The 15955-nt window shown below is 41.2% G+C and overlaps 1 protein-coding gene and 1 pseudogene across 32 annotated transcripts in view, besides 1 other annotated feature; one reads left to right on the top strand and one right to left on the bottom strand.

The window, feature by feature from the left end:
* Positions 1 to 15955, top strand: part of N4BP2L2 (NEDD4 binding protein 2 like 2) — a 106384-nt gene that overhangs the window by 54560 nt on the left and 35869 nt on the right. For 11 of the 32 annotated variants that reach the window (NR_170379.1, NR_170385.1, NR_170384.1 and 8 more), the window contains one exon: positions 3672 to 3719. The exons of 19 other annotated variants lie outside the window; for them this stretch is intronic. Coding sequence is in view for 1 of the 13 variants with exons in the window: in XM_047430041.1 (XP_047285997.1) it covers positions 3693 to 3719 (27 nt within the window). In the remaining 12 variants the exon portion in view is untranslated. Of the gene's footprint in view, positions 1 to 3671; positions 3720 to 6033; positions 6423 to 15955 lie in introns of all 32 variants that reach the window. 2 more of the 32 variants (XR_007063657.1, XR_007063656.1) reach the window with 2 other exon arrangements.
* ATP8A2P2 (ATPase phospholipid transporting 8A2 pseudogene 2) lies at positions 5459 to 7135 on the bottom strand (annotated as a pseudogene).
* Positions 11992 to 12161: an enhancer, noted in NCBI's record as "active region_7560". NCBI's record gives its function as "activates an Ori minimal core promoter by ATAC-STARR-seq in GM12878 lymphoblastoid cells {active_cell/tissue: GM12878}" and the evidence as "EXISTENCE:reporter gene assay evidence [ECO:0000049][PMID:35858748]".

The following is a 15955-nucleotide window of genomic DNA, read 5'->3' as shown; positions in this document are numbered from 1 at the left end:
GTCACCCAGCCTGCAGTGCAGTGGCATGATCTCGGCTCGCTGCAGCCTTGACCTCCTAGGCTGAAGCAATCCTCCCACCTCAGTTCACCCTCTAGTTAACTAGGACTACAGACGTGCGCCACCACACTTGGCTAATATTTGTATTTTTTGTAGAGATGGGGTTTTGCCATAATGCCCAGGCTGGTCTCAAACTCTTGGACTCAAACTCTTGGCAGAAGCACTCCTTCTGCCTTGGCCTCCTGAAGTGCTTGGATTATGTAAGTTGTAAACCACTGGGCCTGGCCCCGACTGGTTTTTCTTTTCTTTTTTTTTTTTTTTCTTTTTTAGATGGAGTTTCGCTCTTGTTGCCCAGGCTGCAGTGCAATGGCGTGATCTTGACTCACTGCAACCTCTGCCTCCAGGGTTCAAGCGATTCTCCTGCCTTAGCCTCCCGAGTAGCTGGAATTAACAGGCGTGCACCACTACACCTGGCTAATTTTGTATTGGTTTTCTTAGACTAAGACATACACAACTGCTGAAAGTGAGCCTGGTAGTATCATTCCCGTCTTGTAAATGTATTATGTAATGGTGAGGGATGTTAGCAAAAAAACAAAACAAAAAACTGTAGCATAAAATTACTAAATTATTATTTTAGAAATTAGTTTTTTAAAAGTAAAAAGTAATCATGCAATGCTATTATCCATTCCTGCTCTACCCCCATACAGTAAGTATAAATAAAGATCATCTGCCATGTTCCTGTCTTTCACCGTGTGTTAGTCTGGATGCCAAGATGTGCTGAAATTTAGTGATGTACAACCTACAAAAATCAATTGTATTTTTATACACTAACTAGTTTTACTAAGTAGTTATAGCAGGAAATATTCTGAAGCTTACCTTAATAGCTTTAATGAGGAAATTTTAGATAAGAATATAGAGGTTAAAATAGGTTGAAGAGAAATATTCTGTTCATCAAAGGCCACCTGCGTTTTTTTCTTTTTTGAAAGTGAAATGGCCCTTCTCTGCCCTTATCTGTAGCATATGAACTTGACTTAGTTTTCCAGTTGCCCTGATAGATTTGCTTTGCCCATCTACATTTTCCCACAGTACTTGCTTCAGTTGAACCCATTTGTGAAAATACTAGTTGTGAATTATAGCCTCTGGCTAAGTGTAAGAAGAGGGTTTCCCAAGTTAAGATTTCGTTTGACTAATAAACATTAGTGCTGGGCTGTAAGTAAACTAATGGACCAAATATAATGGCTACTGCTTCAGACATCAATGTTTAAGTTTACCACATTAGTGAAATAATTGGATGAAAATTCATAGACATTGAAAAGTAATTGAATTTAGAGCACACTAGAATTTAAAAAGTCTGAATAAGTATGTCTTAGTTTGAAATACAAACAAACTAGTAGTAGATAGAATCAAATACCAATGCAAAAGGTAATATTGTCATATGAAATTAGTGTAAGAGAAATTTAAATTTTGTAGCCAAAACAAAACACCTAAACATTCTTAACAGATGAAATAACATGAAAACTTTTACCAAATGGTGTCTTAGTTTTGTAATCTTTCCTGTTATTCTCTGGGATTCAGAGTAGAAGCAGTCTTTTCTCTTTCACCTACTGATAGGAAAACTATATGAAATATGACTGTAAAGAGTCTAAGGCCAGGCACAGTGGCTCATGCCTATAATCCCAGCACTTTGGGAGGCTGAGGTGGGAGGATCACTTGAGGTTAGAAGTTTGAGACCAGCCTGGCCAACATGGTGAAACTCTGTCTCTACTAAAAATACAAAAATACAAAAAAAAAAAAAAATTAGCTGGTCATTTAGTCCCAGCTCCTTAGGAGGCTGAAGTGGGAGGATCACTTGAACCCAGGAGGCAGAGATTGAGGTGAGCCGAGATGGCACTACTGTACTCCAGCTTGGGCGACAAAGTGAGACTCTGTCTCAAACAAGTCTAATTACAAGTAATCAGTTTAATTATAATCACGCTAGGTATGTAAACCCCACTATAACAATTCATTGTATACAGTCAGCTAAAATAAATATATCGTGTCATCTTAAGTGTAATGACAACCTGATAAAACAACTAAACCTAGTATGAATAAAAATTTATTTAACAGATAAGTATTGATCACCCATTATGAATCAGGCATTGGCTAGCATCCTGCAGGGTATTGCTTAAGTTTTGTATGTCTTTTATTGACATTTTACATGCAATATTTAAGACATACAAAAAAGATAAGCATAAGCCAATGGTGTTCATTTATTCGTAGGCCAGCTACATAGTTGAAAGCCCCCATGTACCATACACCCTGGAAGATATAGGCAACAGAGTTCTGAAGGTTTAAATTATATATATTTACATGAATATATACTTAAATTTTGAACTGTAGAATACTGTAAAATTCATTACATAAAACAAAGACAGTGTAGGCAATATTTGCGTCTAGTTCCCAAGGCTAGAATATGACAGGGTCACCATCTGCATTCAGATACAAAGTTCCAGAAACTGGACTAGACTGAGTCAGGTATTTACAGAATAAGAGTTTGAATAATAGTCAAGAAGGAAAGCTAAACAAAAATCAGGAAAACTGGCCCTGAAAATAAGATTTGAGGTGTGAATTAAAGCCATAATCTTATAAGCCAGAACCAGAGGCTTACCCCTTTTTTGAATCATGGACTACTTTCAAAACCCAATGAAATAGTTCCTCTTGCCTATAAACAGTCCTTGTAATAGTCCCTCTTCCATTAAAATTACATACATGTACATACGTATACTACTCAATTTGGGGGAGTTCAAAGATCCTCTGAAGTCTTGAGTATCTGTAAGTGAATACTGGTAATCAGCTTGGGGTGGAGAGAAAGTGATTTGAGTTAGAGACTAAGTAATGTGAATGAGTCTGAGACTACTTTATAAGGTGAAAATAGGATGATAGTGTCAATCATTGAGCTTCAGACTAGTCCACAGAAGAGTTTAGGAGCCATTGCTGGCAGATAGTGGGAGGCTGTGTACGTGGAGCTTTGACTATGCACTCTCTTCAACCACAACACTTCCCTCCACTTTCACTTGTTTATATATGTGGATTTCATTTAAAATTTTGATTAATAGATGTGTTTTAATCCTAAAGATATTTAGGGGACTTTTAAAGGCAGAACACAATCTAAAAAGTGCAATCCTTTTTTTTTTTTTTTTTTTTTTTTTTTTTTGAGACAGAGTCTCACTCTGTTGCTGAGGCTGGAGCGCAGTGGTGTGATCTCGGCTCGCTGCAACCTTTGCCTCCTCGGTTCAGGTGATTCTCCGGCCTCAGCCTCCCGAGTAGCTGGGGTTAAAGGCATGCACCACCATTTCTGGCTAATTTTTGTATTTTTAGTAGAGAAGGAGTTTCACCATGTTGGCCAGGCTGGTCTTGAACTCCTGACCTCAAGTGATCTGCCTTCCTCAGCCTCCCAAAGTGCTGGGATTATAGGTGTGAGTCACCGTGCCTGGCCTAAAAATTCCAATCTTTAGGTTCAGAAAACCTTTCTGAGTTCTATTAACTATACAGTCTTGGAGAAATCACACTCTATGAGTTCTTCAGTCTATAAAATGAAAATAGTAGTAGCACAGTTGTGGATTTGAACAAGATGATGTTTATGAAAGCACTTTAAAAGTTGTGAAGCACAATCTAAATGTTATTTCCATTTTCAGGTGTGACTGAAGAAATATCAAATGTTTCCTAGTAAGACAGCAACTCAGGTGAGATGGAAACTCCAAGTAATGATATAATGGATCTAGCGTCTGATTTTCTAAGATTAAAATTATGTAGAAAAAAGTCTCTTTATTGTTGAAGAGACTTTAAATATGATGCCGTCCAACTAACTAGTAAGTGCTTGAGTTCTCACTAAAATTCCCTGTCAAGTGAACTTTTAATCTGGACTCTTTATCTGATATTACTTTCCTTCTGCCTGGATTTCACTCTTTACAATTGCATTAAATGAGGTTCTCCAGGTCAAATCTCTGTTTTTGTTTCTTTGAAAATAAATATATTTATTTTGCTCTCCTCCATGAACAATATTGTCAATAGATATAGAATAGTAGGTTGACAGTTCTTTTCTCTCATTACACTGAAATTATTCCACTGTCTTCTTCCTCAGTTGTTTCTGATAAGAAGTCAGCTAGAAGTCTAATTGTTGTTCCTGTGAAGATAGCCTGTCATTTTCTGGCTGATTTTAAGGCCTTCCCTTTGACTTTAATGTTTTGAAGTTTCATTATAATGTGTCTAGGTGAGGATTTTTTGTGTCTTTATCCTATTTTGGATTTGCTACATTTTTTTTTAATCTGTGGGATGGTGTATTTCATCAGTTTTGGAAATTTATCAGTGATAAATCTCTTCAAACATTGACTCTGTCTTATTTTCTCCTCTCTCTCTCTCTCACTCTGTGTCTCTGTCTCTCTCTCCGTCTCTCCCTGCACTTCCCTTCTCCTGAGGCTCCAGTTATATGTCTGTTGATCTTCTCATTCTCCCTTCTGTCTCTTAATCTTCATTTTTTTATCATTTTATTTCTTATTGCTGCTTTCTGGATATTTTCTGCAGATGTCTTTTTCCATTTACTAATTCTTCCATTAGCTGTCCTTAACTCACGACCTTGTTTGTTGACAAGGTTTTTTTCAGTAATTAATATTTTTTCATATTTATACATTTTGGGGATCCTTTTTTTTTTTGCTTCTGAAGAAAAAACAAAATTTCATTGTTTTAATAATTACTGGCGGGGCGCAGTGGCTCACACCTATAATCCCAGCACTTTGGGAGGTCAAGGCAGGCGGATCACGAGGTCAGGAGATCGAGACCATCCTGGCTAACACAGTGAAACCCCATCTCTACTAAAAATACAAAAACAAAAAAAAACAAGATTAGCTGGGTGTGGTGGCGGGCGCCTGTAGTCCCAGCTACTCAGGAGGCTGAGGTGGGAGAATGGCATGAACCCAGGAGGTGGAGCTTTGCAGTGAGCCGAGATCATGCCACTGCACTCCAGCCTGGGCGACAGAGTCAGACTGCATCTCAAAAAATAAATAAATAATAAATAATTACTTCAAGATATGAAAACATTGATAACTAGATTTCCTTCACATATTTATCTTGGCATGTAGAGTACATATGGCCTATGTTACCTTTTCAATAATATCATAACGTTCTTTTTTATTTTTTTTTTGAGACAAAGTTTTGCTCTTGTTGTCCAGGCTGAAGTGCAGTGGCATGATCTTGGCTCACTGCAACCTCTGCCTCCTGAGTTCAAGTGATTCTCCTGCCTCAGCCTCCTGAGTAGCTGGGATTATAGGCACCCGCCATCATTCCCAACTAATTTCTTTTTTGTATTGTTAGTAGAGATAGCGTTTCACCATGTTGGCCAGGCTGGTCTCAAACTCCTGACCTCAGGTGATCCATCCACTTCGGCTTCCCAAAGTGCTGAGATTACAGGTGTAAGCCACTGTGCCTGGCCAATAATATCATACCATTTTTCTACCCTTTGAATTCTGTCTTGTACAGTTGTACTCGCTTTTTTGTACTTCCGAAATCACCCATTATATTCATTCTCAGTTAAATCTCTATACACAACACAGAGAATTCTCAGACCTTCTGTGGCAAAATATTCCAGATGGGTTAATGTCTCCTGAACAAATAGAGAATCTTCTGAAAGTCTCTCATAAATCACTCTATCAGCCCCTTTGCAGTAGAGCCAGAGCCGTCCCATAAGGGTTCAGACAATTAGAGACATTCTTTTTCTATTACTAGAGAACTCCAGGACATTAAGAATTTCAAAAGCATTTTTCTCCCGTAGCTTCTGTGGTGACAGAGTATGGTGTTCTTGTATAAAGAACAAGCCATATTCTTTTGCTCCTTTCACTAAAGCTGCTTTGGCTGGGGAGGAAGCCTGGTAGATTATATTATTTCCATCTCTCAGGAATAACAGTGTGGCACACAGATAACAGGGTAAGAAATTGCGTTATATAGTTTTTTGTGGGATGACCATTCTCAAAGTTCTCCAATAATTTGGGGTCATTAAATTCACAGGACTCTAGGATGGAAGAAGGTGTCTGACCGTAAATTACACCTGCAGTGGTACGCTTCTTAAATGTCATAATATTCCTGTTTTATTAGAAAATAGATGTTTTACCTGCCCAAGTTCTTCGTTGAGATTGAATGTTCTGGCCATGGCGTAGACGTTATTTACTTTATAATGCATATCTTCATTCCAGTGTATAAGCTGGGCCTGAATATATTTCACAATTTTCCCACAGCAACCAGCAGACTAATGGGGATGAGGTTCTGGTACAAGATGATGAACACCAGTATGTCAGACAATGACTTGGGAGCTGGAATCAAGGACATGACCAAGAGCAGCAAGAACAAAAGGGAGACTGACACATTGATCACTTTCTCAACCTTTGATCTCTTGAGAGGTGATTTGACGGAATTCTGCATGAATTTTGTTTCAAATCCAGTGCAAACAACTATGCCAATAATCCGCTGAGTATTTCTCAGCTGTATACCTCTTAACAAGACCTGGTCAGGCCCAATTGGAACAGAGCTTTTACCACTTAGGCTCAAGGTTCCATCTAAGCTAAGAAATGACGATTAGGTCTATTTTTCCAGATAGGCTGAACAAACGGTTTTCTGATTGCATTCAACCTGTTTCTGGCAAAGCCTGCTGTAGCTTTAGATCTGTCTCTCCATCCAGATTAGGCGTTGCTATATAACAATCAACTGAGGTTCACTGGAAGACATCAGGACTATGTCTGTAGGAAGGAACTCTCAGTTCTTTGTATTAACTATTTTGTCTGCCATATGTCATTTACAATCTTCTATAACCTCTTTGGTCCCTGAAATCAGAGGCAAGAGAGTTGTATATTTTCCTGTTGGAGACACATCTGGAATTTGCTGCAATACATTAATGAACAAGAAAGCATTGGCAGGTTTGGTAAATTGCAGATACAAAAACTCAGGGAGAAATGACCACATGCTGTACTTGGCCGTGCTGATGAAGTTTTTGCAGCAAATGGTTCTTAAGGGGGTCATTGATGTAAATGGTGCAGCCTTTTAGCCCTTGTAAGCCTTGCATAGTTCATAGCCAGGGCATCCTCTCCTCCACCTTCTGACTGCCCAAGGAGAAATGAGTAGATCTCAGACTGCTCAGCTGGTGTATGATAGTGGCAAGAGTACTATTGGTTACACATTCAAGTTCACTGGTAATCCCCTCAGGCAGAGCTCCCTGGCACAAGTGCTGGGGCTTGGTGTTCCTCTTCACTAAAGGCATGGCTCACAATCGTATGATAGTTGACTGCGGGTTGCAGAAATTTCCTTCAAGTAGCATCACTACTTTGGCTCAGTTATCAGTAGTAGTAACAGCAATCAAAACTAAAATGGTCTGTGTTCCCGCCGGGGCTGCACTCGAGCCCCATGGTCCTGCCACACCCACCTTGCACCACACTGCCAGGGGTACTTTTTCAACTTTATTTAGTTATTATTTAGAGTTTCTTATTCCCTACAGTCAGTTTAGAAGTATCTTTATAAATAGTGAATGTGGTTATTTTACATGCTGTATATCCACAGTACTTCAGGTCTGTTTTTGCTGTTCCTTGTTCATGGTTATATGTTTCCAATGTATTCTGTTATTTTTTGCTATGAGCTACTCATTTTTCTTGGAATTTTATTTGTATCAGTATTTTTGAGCCCTTGGATAAAAATAGATTTCTCCAGCAAGGATTATATTTACTTCTGCCAGGTGCCTGGCAGCAGTACCAGCCTGAGATCATTCTAAATTACTGGTCTGCAGTTTTCTAGACTAGACAGAGAGCAGCATGTGAGGAATGGGTTGTAGTTCCAGATCCTTAGATGTGATGTTCCCTACCCTAATCCACTCAGCATCAGAATTCCACGTAATTTATTTTTCCTTGCAGTTTTGGTTGGAGGGTAGAGATAAGTTTCTGTTCACTTTTAGACAAAAGCAAAGAAGCCATTTGAGGTCTCAGCTTTATTAGAGAGGGAATTGTTATTGGCCTGCTCCCTTACCCTGTTAACTTGTGCCCACAAAAAGCCCTAAGTTTACAAAAACCCTGAAGATCCAGTTCATCTGGTTCATCAAATGTTTTCAAAGGCGGCTGAGGTCAGCTGACCCTTCTGGGTTCCTGCCTTCAGGAATCCTGGGAATTCTGTAATTTTTCAGAAGCTCATCAGTGCATTTAGAAAATATTTTGAAAAAATGCTTAATCCAGGATTTAGTTGTTTGATCCTGTTACCTACTTACTACATTCCTGGAAATGTAATTCTCCTCAATACCATTTTAAGGTATCCAGATAGACAGAATTGCATGAAATATTTCACCTCTAACAAGATATATCATGCCTTTTGTGTGAGAGATTCTTGTTCTGTCTTTCCTGCCCTTCTCCCTTTGCCGTATTTTTCTTCTCCCTTTGCCGTATTTTTCTTATCTGTCTTCAACTTATTTTCATTGTAGTATATGTGCTTTCATAATGATATAGGAGGTAAGAAAGTACTTAGGCAGATAGTAGGGATATGGGAATCCTCGGTAAGGCTTTCCTTTTTAATGAAAAGCAGCCCCAAATTATTTTCCTTTCTAACGAAGAGCTGCAGACATAGATACTGGCAGTCGTGCCAATCATGTTCAAGATGGAGGCTCCATCTTCCCTTCTGTTTGTCAGCCACGTGTACAGAAAGAAGCAGACAACGTGGCACTGATCAACTGGAATGTCCATTTGCATAATAAGATTAGGGTGGGGTAACCAGCCTTCCCTGTGCATTATGTAGACGTCATACCTGATTAAACCAATCTATGAGCCCTATGTAAATCAGACACCGCCTCCTCAAACTGGACTATAAAACTTGGCACATTCGTGCTAGCCAATCCTTTTTCTGTTTGGAGACCCTCTCTTGGATGACCTGCTTTCTCTGCATGAGGAAGCTTTCTCTCTCTCTTCTTTTTCTATTTAACTTTCTGCTGCTAAACCCACTCCTCGTGTGTGCCCATGTCCTGAATTCTTTCTCAACCTTGACCAGAAATCAGGGTATATAGCCCAGACAACGGAGCTGTTTCAGTAAGCCACCATAAATCATTTCTTAAGTGAGTGTGCAGATAAATAATTTCTTTTTAATCTACATTTGCTCTGACCTGGGCAAGAACAGACTGAGGGCATTTATCTATAGTGCTGATTCTCAGCACTTTTGAATATGAGAATGCTTTGAAATGACAAATTTTAACAGTTTCTGCATGGTGACAGTATAATTTTAGTGTCCAGTGATGAAAAATATATAATAGAATGCTAAGTGACACTTTTTAATTAATCATAACCTCATCTATATAGTTATGTATAATATTAACACAGGTATATGTGACAGGTATTCAGTCTTTAGACATTTTTTATGCACATATGGATGCATGGATCATGTACAGTACTCCATTGTCAGCGGCCCACAGGAAGAAGATACTCTTTCAGATAATCCTTTAAATGCTACTTAAGTTTATTTAACTTTTTGTTAGCCATGTGACTTTTTTAAATCAAAGTAAATATAACACCACTAGCTCTTTTATCACATGGTCTATGGCTAAATCACATTTTTATTTTAGTGCGGTGGCTGGGGTGGAGTCTCACTCTGTTGCCCAGGCCGGAGTGCAGTGGCACGATCTTGGCTCACTGCAACCTCTGTCCCCCCAGGCTCAAGTGATTCTCCTGCCTCAGCCTTCCGAGTACCTGAGATTACAAGCACATGCCACCATGCCCGGCTAATTTTTTTTTTTTTTTTTAGTAGAGACAGGGTTTCACCGTGTCGGCCAGACTGATCTCAAACTCCTGACCTCAGGTGATTCGCCCACCTCGGCCTCCCAAAGTGCTGGGATTACAGGCGTGAGCCACTGTGATAGGCCGCTAAGTACATTTCTATCATATGTATTTGTATAATTGACCGTGACATTTTGTGGATTTGTTTGAATTTTTCCAACTTTTTATTAAGGAAAATCTGATATGTAAAGAGAAGTTAATATATATAATATAATGGTAATAATAAACTGTATATGCCTTCTACCTACATTCAAAATCATTAACATTTTGCCATATTTGCTTTATAGATATATGTATATATGAATATCTATATAAGTTTACACATTTATTTACTTGCAGAACTATTTGAAAATAAGTTTTAGATAAGACCTTTCACTCCTAAGTGAAGGCATTCCTAAAGAATAAAGGCATTTTCTTTCATAACCATGATACCCTTATTATATGCAAGCAAATTAACAAAAATTCTATAATAATTCAAATTTCTGCCATTGTCACAAAACTATTTGTAGTAAGCAGAATAATGCTTCCCCTGTACCCAAAGGTAGCCATGTCTTAATCCTCTGAACCTCTGACTATCTTATCTTACATGGCAAAGGGGAATTAAGGTTGCTCATCAACTGACCTTAAAATAGTGAGATTATACTGGATTATCTGGTGGGCCCAGTGTTATCACAAGGGTCCTTAAAAGTGGATGATAGAGGCAGAAAAACAGAGTTAGAGGGAAACGTGACTATGGGAGAAAGGCACAGAGAGAGACAGTGTTGCTGGATTTGAAAATGGAAGAATACAAGCCAAGGAATGTCAGTGGCCTCTGGAAAAGAGACTGGAAAGGACAAGGAAATGGATTCTCTCATATACCTTTCAGAAAGGAACCTATCCCTGCTGAAACCTCGATTTTAATCCAGTAAGACCTATTTTGGACTTCTGACCTATAGAATTATAAGATAATAAACTTGTATGATTTTAAGCCACCAAATTTGTGGTGACTTGTTACACAGTCACTTATTACAGCAGCAATAGAAAATGAATACACTGTTTTTTATAGCTTTATTTTTTTTCTCCCCAAACTAGGATCCAGTCAATGTTCACACCTTGTGTTTAGTTGCTTGTTATCTTTGGTTGTTTTTAAAAATAAATTTGATAATGTATTTGATTTAACCTATCAAAATATTATTTCAACATATAATAAATATTTAATTTTTTTTTTTTTTTGAGACGGAGTCTCCTTCTGTTGCCCAGGCTGGAGTGCAGTGGTGCGATCTTGGCTCACTGCAATCTCTGCCTCTTGGGTTCAAGTGATTCTCCTGCCTCAGCCTTCTGAGTAGCTAGGATTACAGGTGCCCACTACCTTGCCCAGCTAATTTTTTGTATTTTTAGTAGAGATGGGGTTTCACTATGTTGGCCAGGCTGGTCTCGAACTCCTGACCTCAGGTGATCTGCCCACCTCAGCCTCCCAAAGTGCTGGGATTACAGGCGTGAGCCACCGCGTCTGACCAATATTTTAAAAATTATTAATAAGTTATTTTACTTTTTAAAAATCATACCCTTTGAAATCCAGTTTAGACTTACAACACATCCCAATTCAGACTAGCCACATTTCAAGTGCTTAGTAGGTACATATTAATAATGGCTATTGTATTTGATAGTGCTCTACATATTTGGGAATTGCTTTACTGTCTAAAAGGCAGTTCTAGCAGGAGGGATGTCTGCCAGGCTATTTTCACTCTCATTGAAAGTGCTGGCTAAGAGTGGCAGACTAGGAGTCAGGAGATGGGTTCCTCACCTAGGCTCAGCTAGCTTCATCTCACGGGTGTGACCTTTCTGGAGCTTGATTTCTTCATCTTCAGAATACAAAACTTTGAATAGGCCATATTTGAGGCCGAGCTCTAGGCCAGGTGGCATATCTGTTACTCTAGGGAGGAGCTTTTCAGGTGTTTTGGATACCTTTGCTTTGATCAGTGCCAGCAGGTGATGAACGTGCCTTCCTTGGTCAGCTGTTTAGACTTCCCTTGAGTGTGAGGGGAAAAAAAAGAAACTGTTCTTCATGCTTACCAGTGGCATTATATATGAAGAAAAATAACCAGCACAGCAAAAAGGAAGTGTTGCACTTTCAGCCACTGATTCTGCAGTACCAAATAAGTAAGAACCAGAAAGTGGAATCTTCTTAGTATTGACGTTTCTCTCTCTCAGTGACTGACTCAGCATTTCTCTATTTTTTTAGACTATATTTTTAGGACAGTTTTAGGTTTATAAAAAACTTGAGCAGAGTACAGAGAGTTCCCATATGACCTCCTCTTGGTCACTTGTGATGTGAACAGTCCTCCACCTTTTTTTATTAATCCGCTCTTTACGATGTTGTCTTTGTTAAGAGTTCAGGACAGTTGTCTTATAGACCATCCTATTTTTCTGGATTTATCTGATTGTTTTCCTCATGGTGTCATTTAACATCTTCTAGCCTTTGCATTTCTTGTAAAGTGGAAGTTAGGCCTAGAGAGAGGCTTGATTAAATTCAGGTTAAATGTTTTGGGCAAGAATAGTTCATGGGTGATGTATTTTTATTCTTCTTAGATATCGTTTTGTGAGGTTGTGCTGTCACACCCAGTGTCAGTTTCCAGCCTATGCTGAGGTCTGAAGGGAGTGGGTGGATGGGCGACAAATAGCTGAAAGAACACTCAAGGGGCTGTAGGCAGTGAGTATGGCTTTATTCAGCAGCTCTTTCATTAGCAGCTCACTCACACTAGCTCTCTCATCAGCAGCTCTCTCGCAGCAGCTCTCTCACACTGCTTTTATCTTGGCTGTCAGCTCCAGCTCTGCAGCTCCTGCCACTCCCACACACAGCTGCATTCCCTGGCCTACAAGGCAGGCTTTCCCTTACAGGGTTAGCAGCTTAACTCTTTCTCTGGGTGCAAGACGAGCCGAGCCTTGGCTCCCCCTTGTCCGCCTACAAGATGGACAACTCTGGCTCTCTCTCTGTCTTTCTTCGGGTGCGCCCGCACAAGCCCTGTGCACGGTGACAGCAGGGCAGTTATACCTTTCTCAAACAATACTGGCTCCGAGCCCAGTATGAGCTTACACAAACAGGTTATATAACAAGTGGAGTATGCGCCTGCACCCTAAACTCACTGAGTCATTCTGGCCCAGAGGTCCACCTTGGCCTATTCCTTGACCAGAGCACATCCATATACCTTACATTTCACCCTCTAGGCCAAGAGAGATAGGTTTTGGGCACAGAGGCCCAATAAACACACATAGGCTTCATACACAAGCCTGACACATAAGCTTTGGGCATGCAGGCCTGATACACAGGTTTGGCACATAGGCCCCAGGTCCAACACATACATAAGCTTCTGGACACACAGGCCCGTTACATACATAAGCTTTGATAAACTGCCTAGCTATTAGTACAGATTACTGTAGGTGTCACCTCCTTGTTGATCATCATTCACATTGCACTGAGTTCAGCCCATTGGCTACTTTGCCTGCACCTGGTTTCAAACCATATGGTGTCAGTACTAGGCTAGACTGTGACAGCAATCCAGGCAGCAGTAGCACCCCAGCTAGACCTATCTGTGTTCCCTGCCCTATTAAGAATGGGAGGATGTTCTTCCTAACAGTGAAGGCTTAGGGTCTAGGGGTGCTTCAGGCCCCATGGCCTTATCTTGCATGAGGACTACAGGTGCCAAGACCTCTTGTAACACTGCAGCTAAGGTACTTGTACTCAGCATACTCCGCTGTTCTAAGGAGGTGCTACACTTTGCTAAAGTGGATATCTACGCCATCCCATTCTGGGGGCTTGTTACCTATTAATGCACCCATCCCGCTATTGGGTAAGTCATCTGTCCTGCCATGCTCTCATTAGCCTGAAGGGAAGCATATATAGCTGCTAACTGCTTCCCTATCAGAGTATGAGAGCTCAGCTCCCTTCCATAGTTGGGACTAAAAGCATACTGTCACTCCCAAGTGCCTCATGCATTGATATAGGCCCTAGCCAAAGCTATCTGTGGTCACATGCACATCCAGCTTAAATGAGCACCCCTGGTCAACTACCCATAGGGCTTATGTCTACCGAATAGCCTGCTTGGCTATTGGAAAAGGCTGCCTCAGTTTCATTATCCCAATCCCAGGCAAGAGGGGCATTCCCGCTTTTAAACCTGTAAAAGAATCAGAGGTTAGCATAACATCATTAATAAGACTATGACACCACCGCAACACTGTGAAAGTCCATTGTCGCCCTCCCATGAAGGCAAACTGTTCCTGGCTGTCTGGAAAAGAAGTCCCAGTTCCATTGTCAAGCGGTCCATCAAGTCTGTGACAGACAGCACAGCTGCCAAGCTGTGCAAAACATCCACCCCCAGAATGCATTCAGGCACTGGGGAGAGATACACAATGCATAAGCAGAGAGCCAAGCGGCTGATGGCAAGGTGCAAAGATACAGGTCTCACTTTCACTGACTGGCTTTCATAGCCATTAATTGATGCAGCCCCACCCAGAAACTTATACGTGTTCAGGGACCAGTGGATTGCCAAGTCCACATGTGGCTGCGGTGGTCCAGTGTCCCTCTGAGCAAGGCACCTCAGCCAGTTCCCTTATCAAACAGAAAAGTCTTTACACTTCCACTTGACTGCAGCAGGTACTCCCTGAACTGGAACACTTAGGCAGGACTGGGCTGTACAGTAACATCCTTCTCCCAATTGAGTTGCACCAAGTCTATACTTGACTTTCATCGTCTGACAGTCTCTGGTACTTTTCTGGACCAGCATCAGTCCACACTTTAAAAAGCCAGCTTCTCCATCTTGGAGGCAGAGCAGGAAATGTGTCAGCTCCTTCGTCTCAGAGACGGAATATCAGGCAGGGAGGGGACCCCCCAGACGCTGCCGACATTAGTTGCCTAACTCCCACAACTCAGTGGGGGTGGGGGTCCCTAGGCCTACCTTTGGGGCCCAACAGCTGCTTATGCTCTATTTTCTGGCAGACCACTGGGTGAGCCTGCAACCAAGGTTCTTCCTCCTCCCTGCGCTGCATCCCACAGGGACTGGGCATGCATGTCCTGCTCATGACTGTGCTCAGTCATAAACACCCATCTGACTCTGCTGACAAAAGTATGTACTTTCTCGGTGCTGTGCACTTCTAGGTGCTTCAGTTCCATCTCCACACTCACAGGGGACCTGTCCACTGCCACCCATGTCTCCACTGGAGCCCATCCATGCAGCACAGCTGCCACCAGTTACCACAGCCCATGATGCAGCCACATTGCCGACCTGGGAGTCTTGTGGGCTGAAGACCCATTCATCTCATTCTGCCGAGGACTACACCAAATGTCAGGTTCAGGGTCAGGTTCCAGCCCATGCTGAGGTCCAAAAGGAAGGGGTGAATGGGTCACGAATGGCTGAAAAGAACACTCGGGGGACCGTAGCAGTTGAATATGGTTTTATTCAGCAGCTCTTTCATCAGCAGCTCACTCACACTAGCTCCTCATCAGCAGCTCTCTCACAGCAGCTCTCTTACACTGTCTACCTTTATCTCAGCTATCTGCTCCAGCTCTGCAGCTCCTGCCACTCCCACACACAGCTGCATTCCCTGGGCTACAAGGTTGGCTCTCCCTTACAGGGTTAGCAGCTTAACTTTTTCTCTCTCTGGGCACAAGCCAAGCTGGCTCTCCCCTGTCTATCTATAAGACGAACAACTCTGGCTCTCTCTCTTTTCTCTGGGTGTGCAGGGCATCAGCAGGGCAGTTATACCTTTCTCAAAGAATAGTGGCTCCGAGCCCAGTATGAGCTTACACAAACAGGTTATGTAACAAGCAGAGTATGCACCTGCACCCTAAACTCACCGAGTCACTCTGTCCCAGATGTCCAACTTGGCCTATTCCTTGACCAAAGCACATCCATGTACCTTACATGTGCCCATCACTTCCAGTATATTGGAATACATTTGGATCCTGATTCTGTCATATCAGCTGCTACTCCTTTCTCTCATTTGAAAATCTGATAAAGTACCTCTTTACTTTTGTTCTTCGCTTTACCAATGAAAATATTGACAGAACAAAGGAAAGAGAGTATCAACTCTTTGGCTGCCTTATCTTACAATGTCTGGGACACAGTAGCACTCAAATATTTGTTAAAATAAATTTTCACTGCTTT

This window comes from Homo sapiens, chromosome 13 (genome assembly GCF_000001405.40).
Source record: "Homo sapiens chromosome 13, GRCh38.p14 Primary Assembly".
NCBI lineage: Eukaryota > Metazoa > Chordata > Mammalia > Primates > Hominidae > Homo > Homo sapiens.
This window is presented reverse-complemented; position numbering and strand designations above follow the sequence as displayed.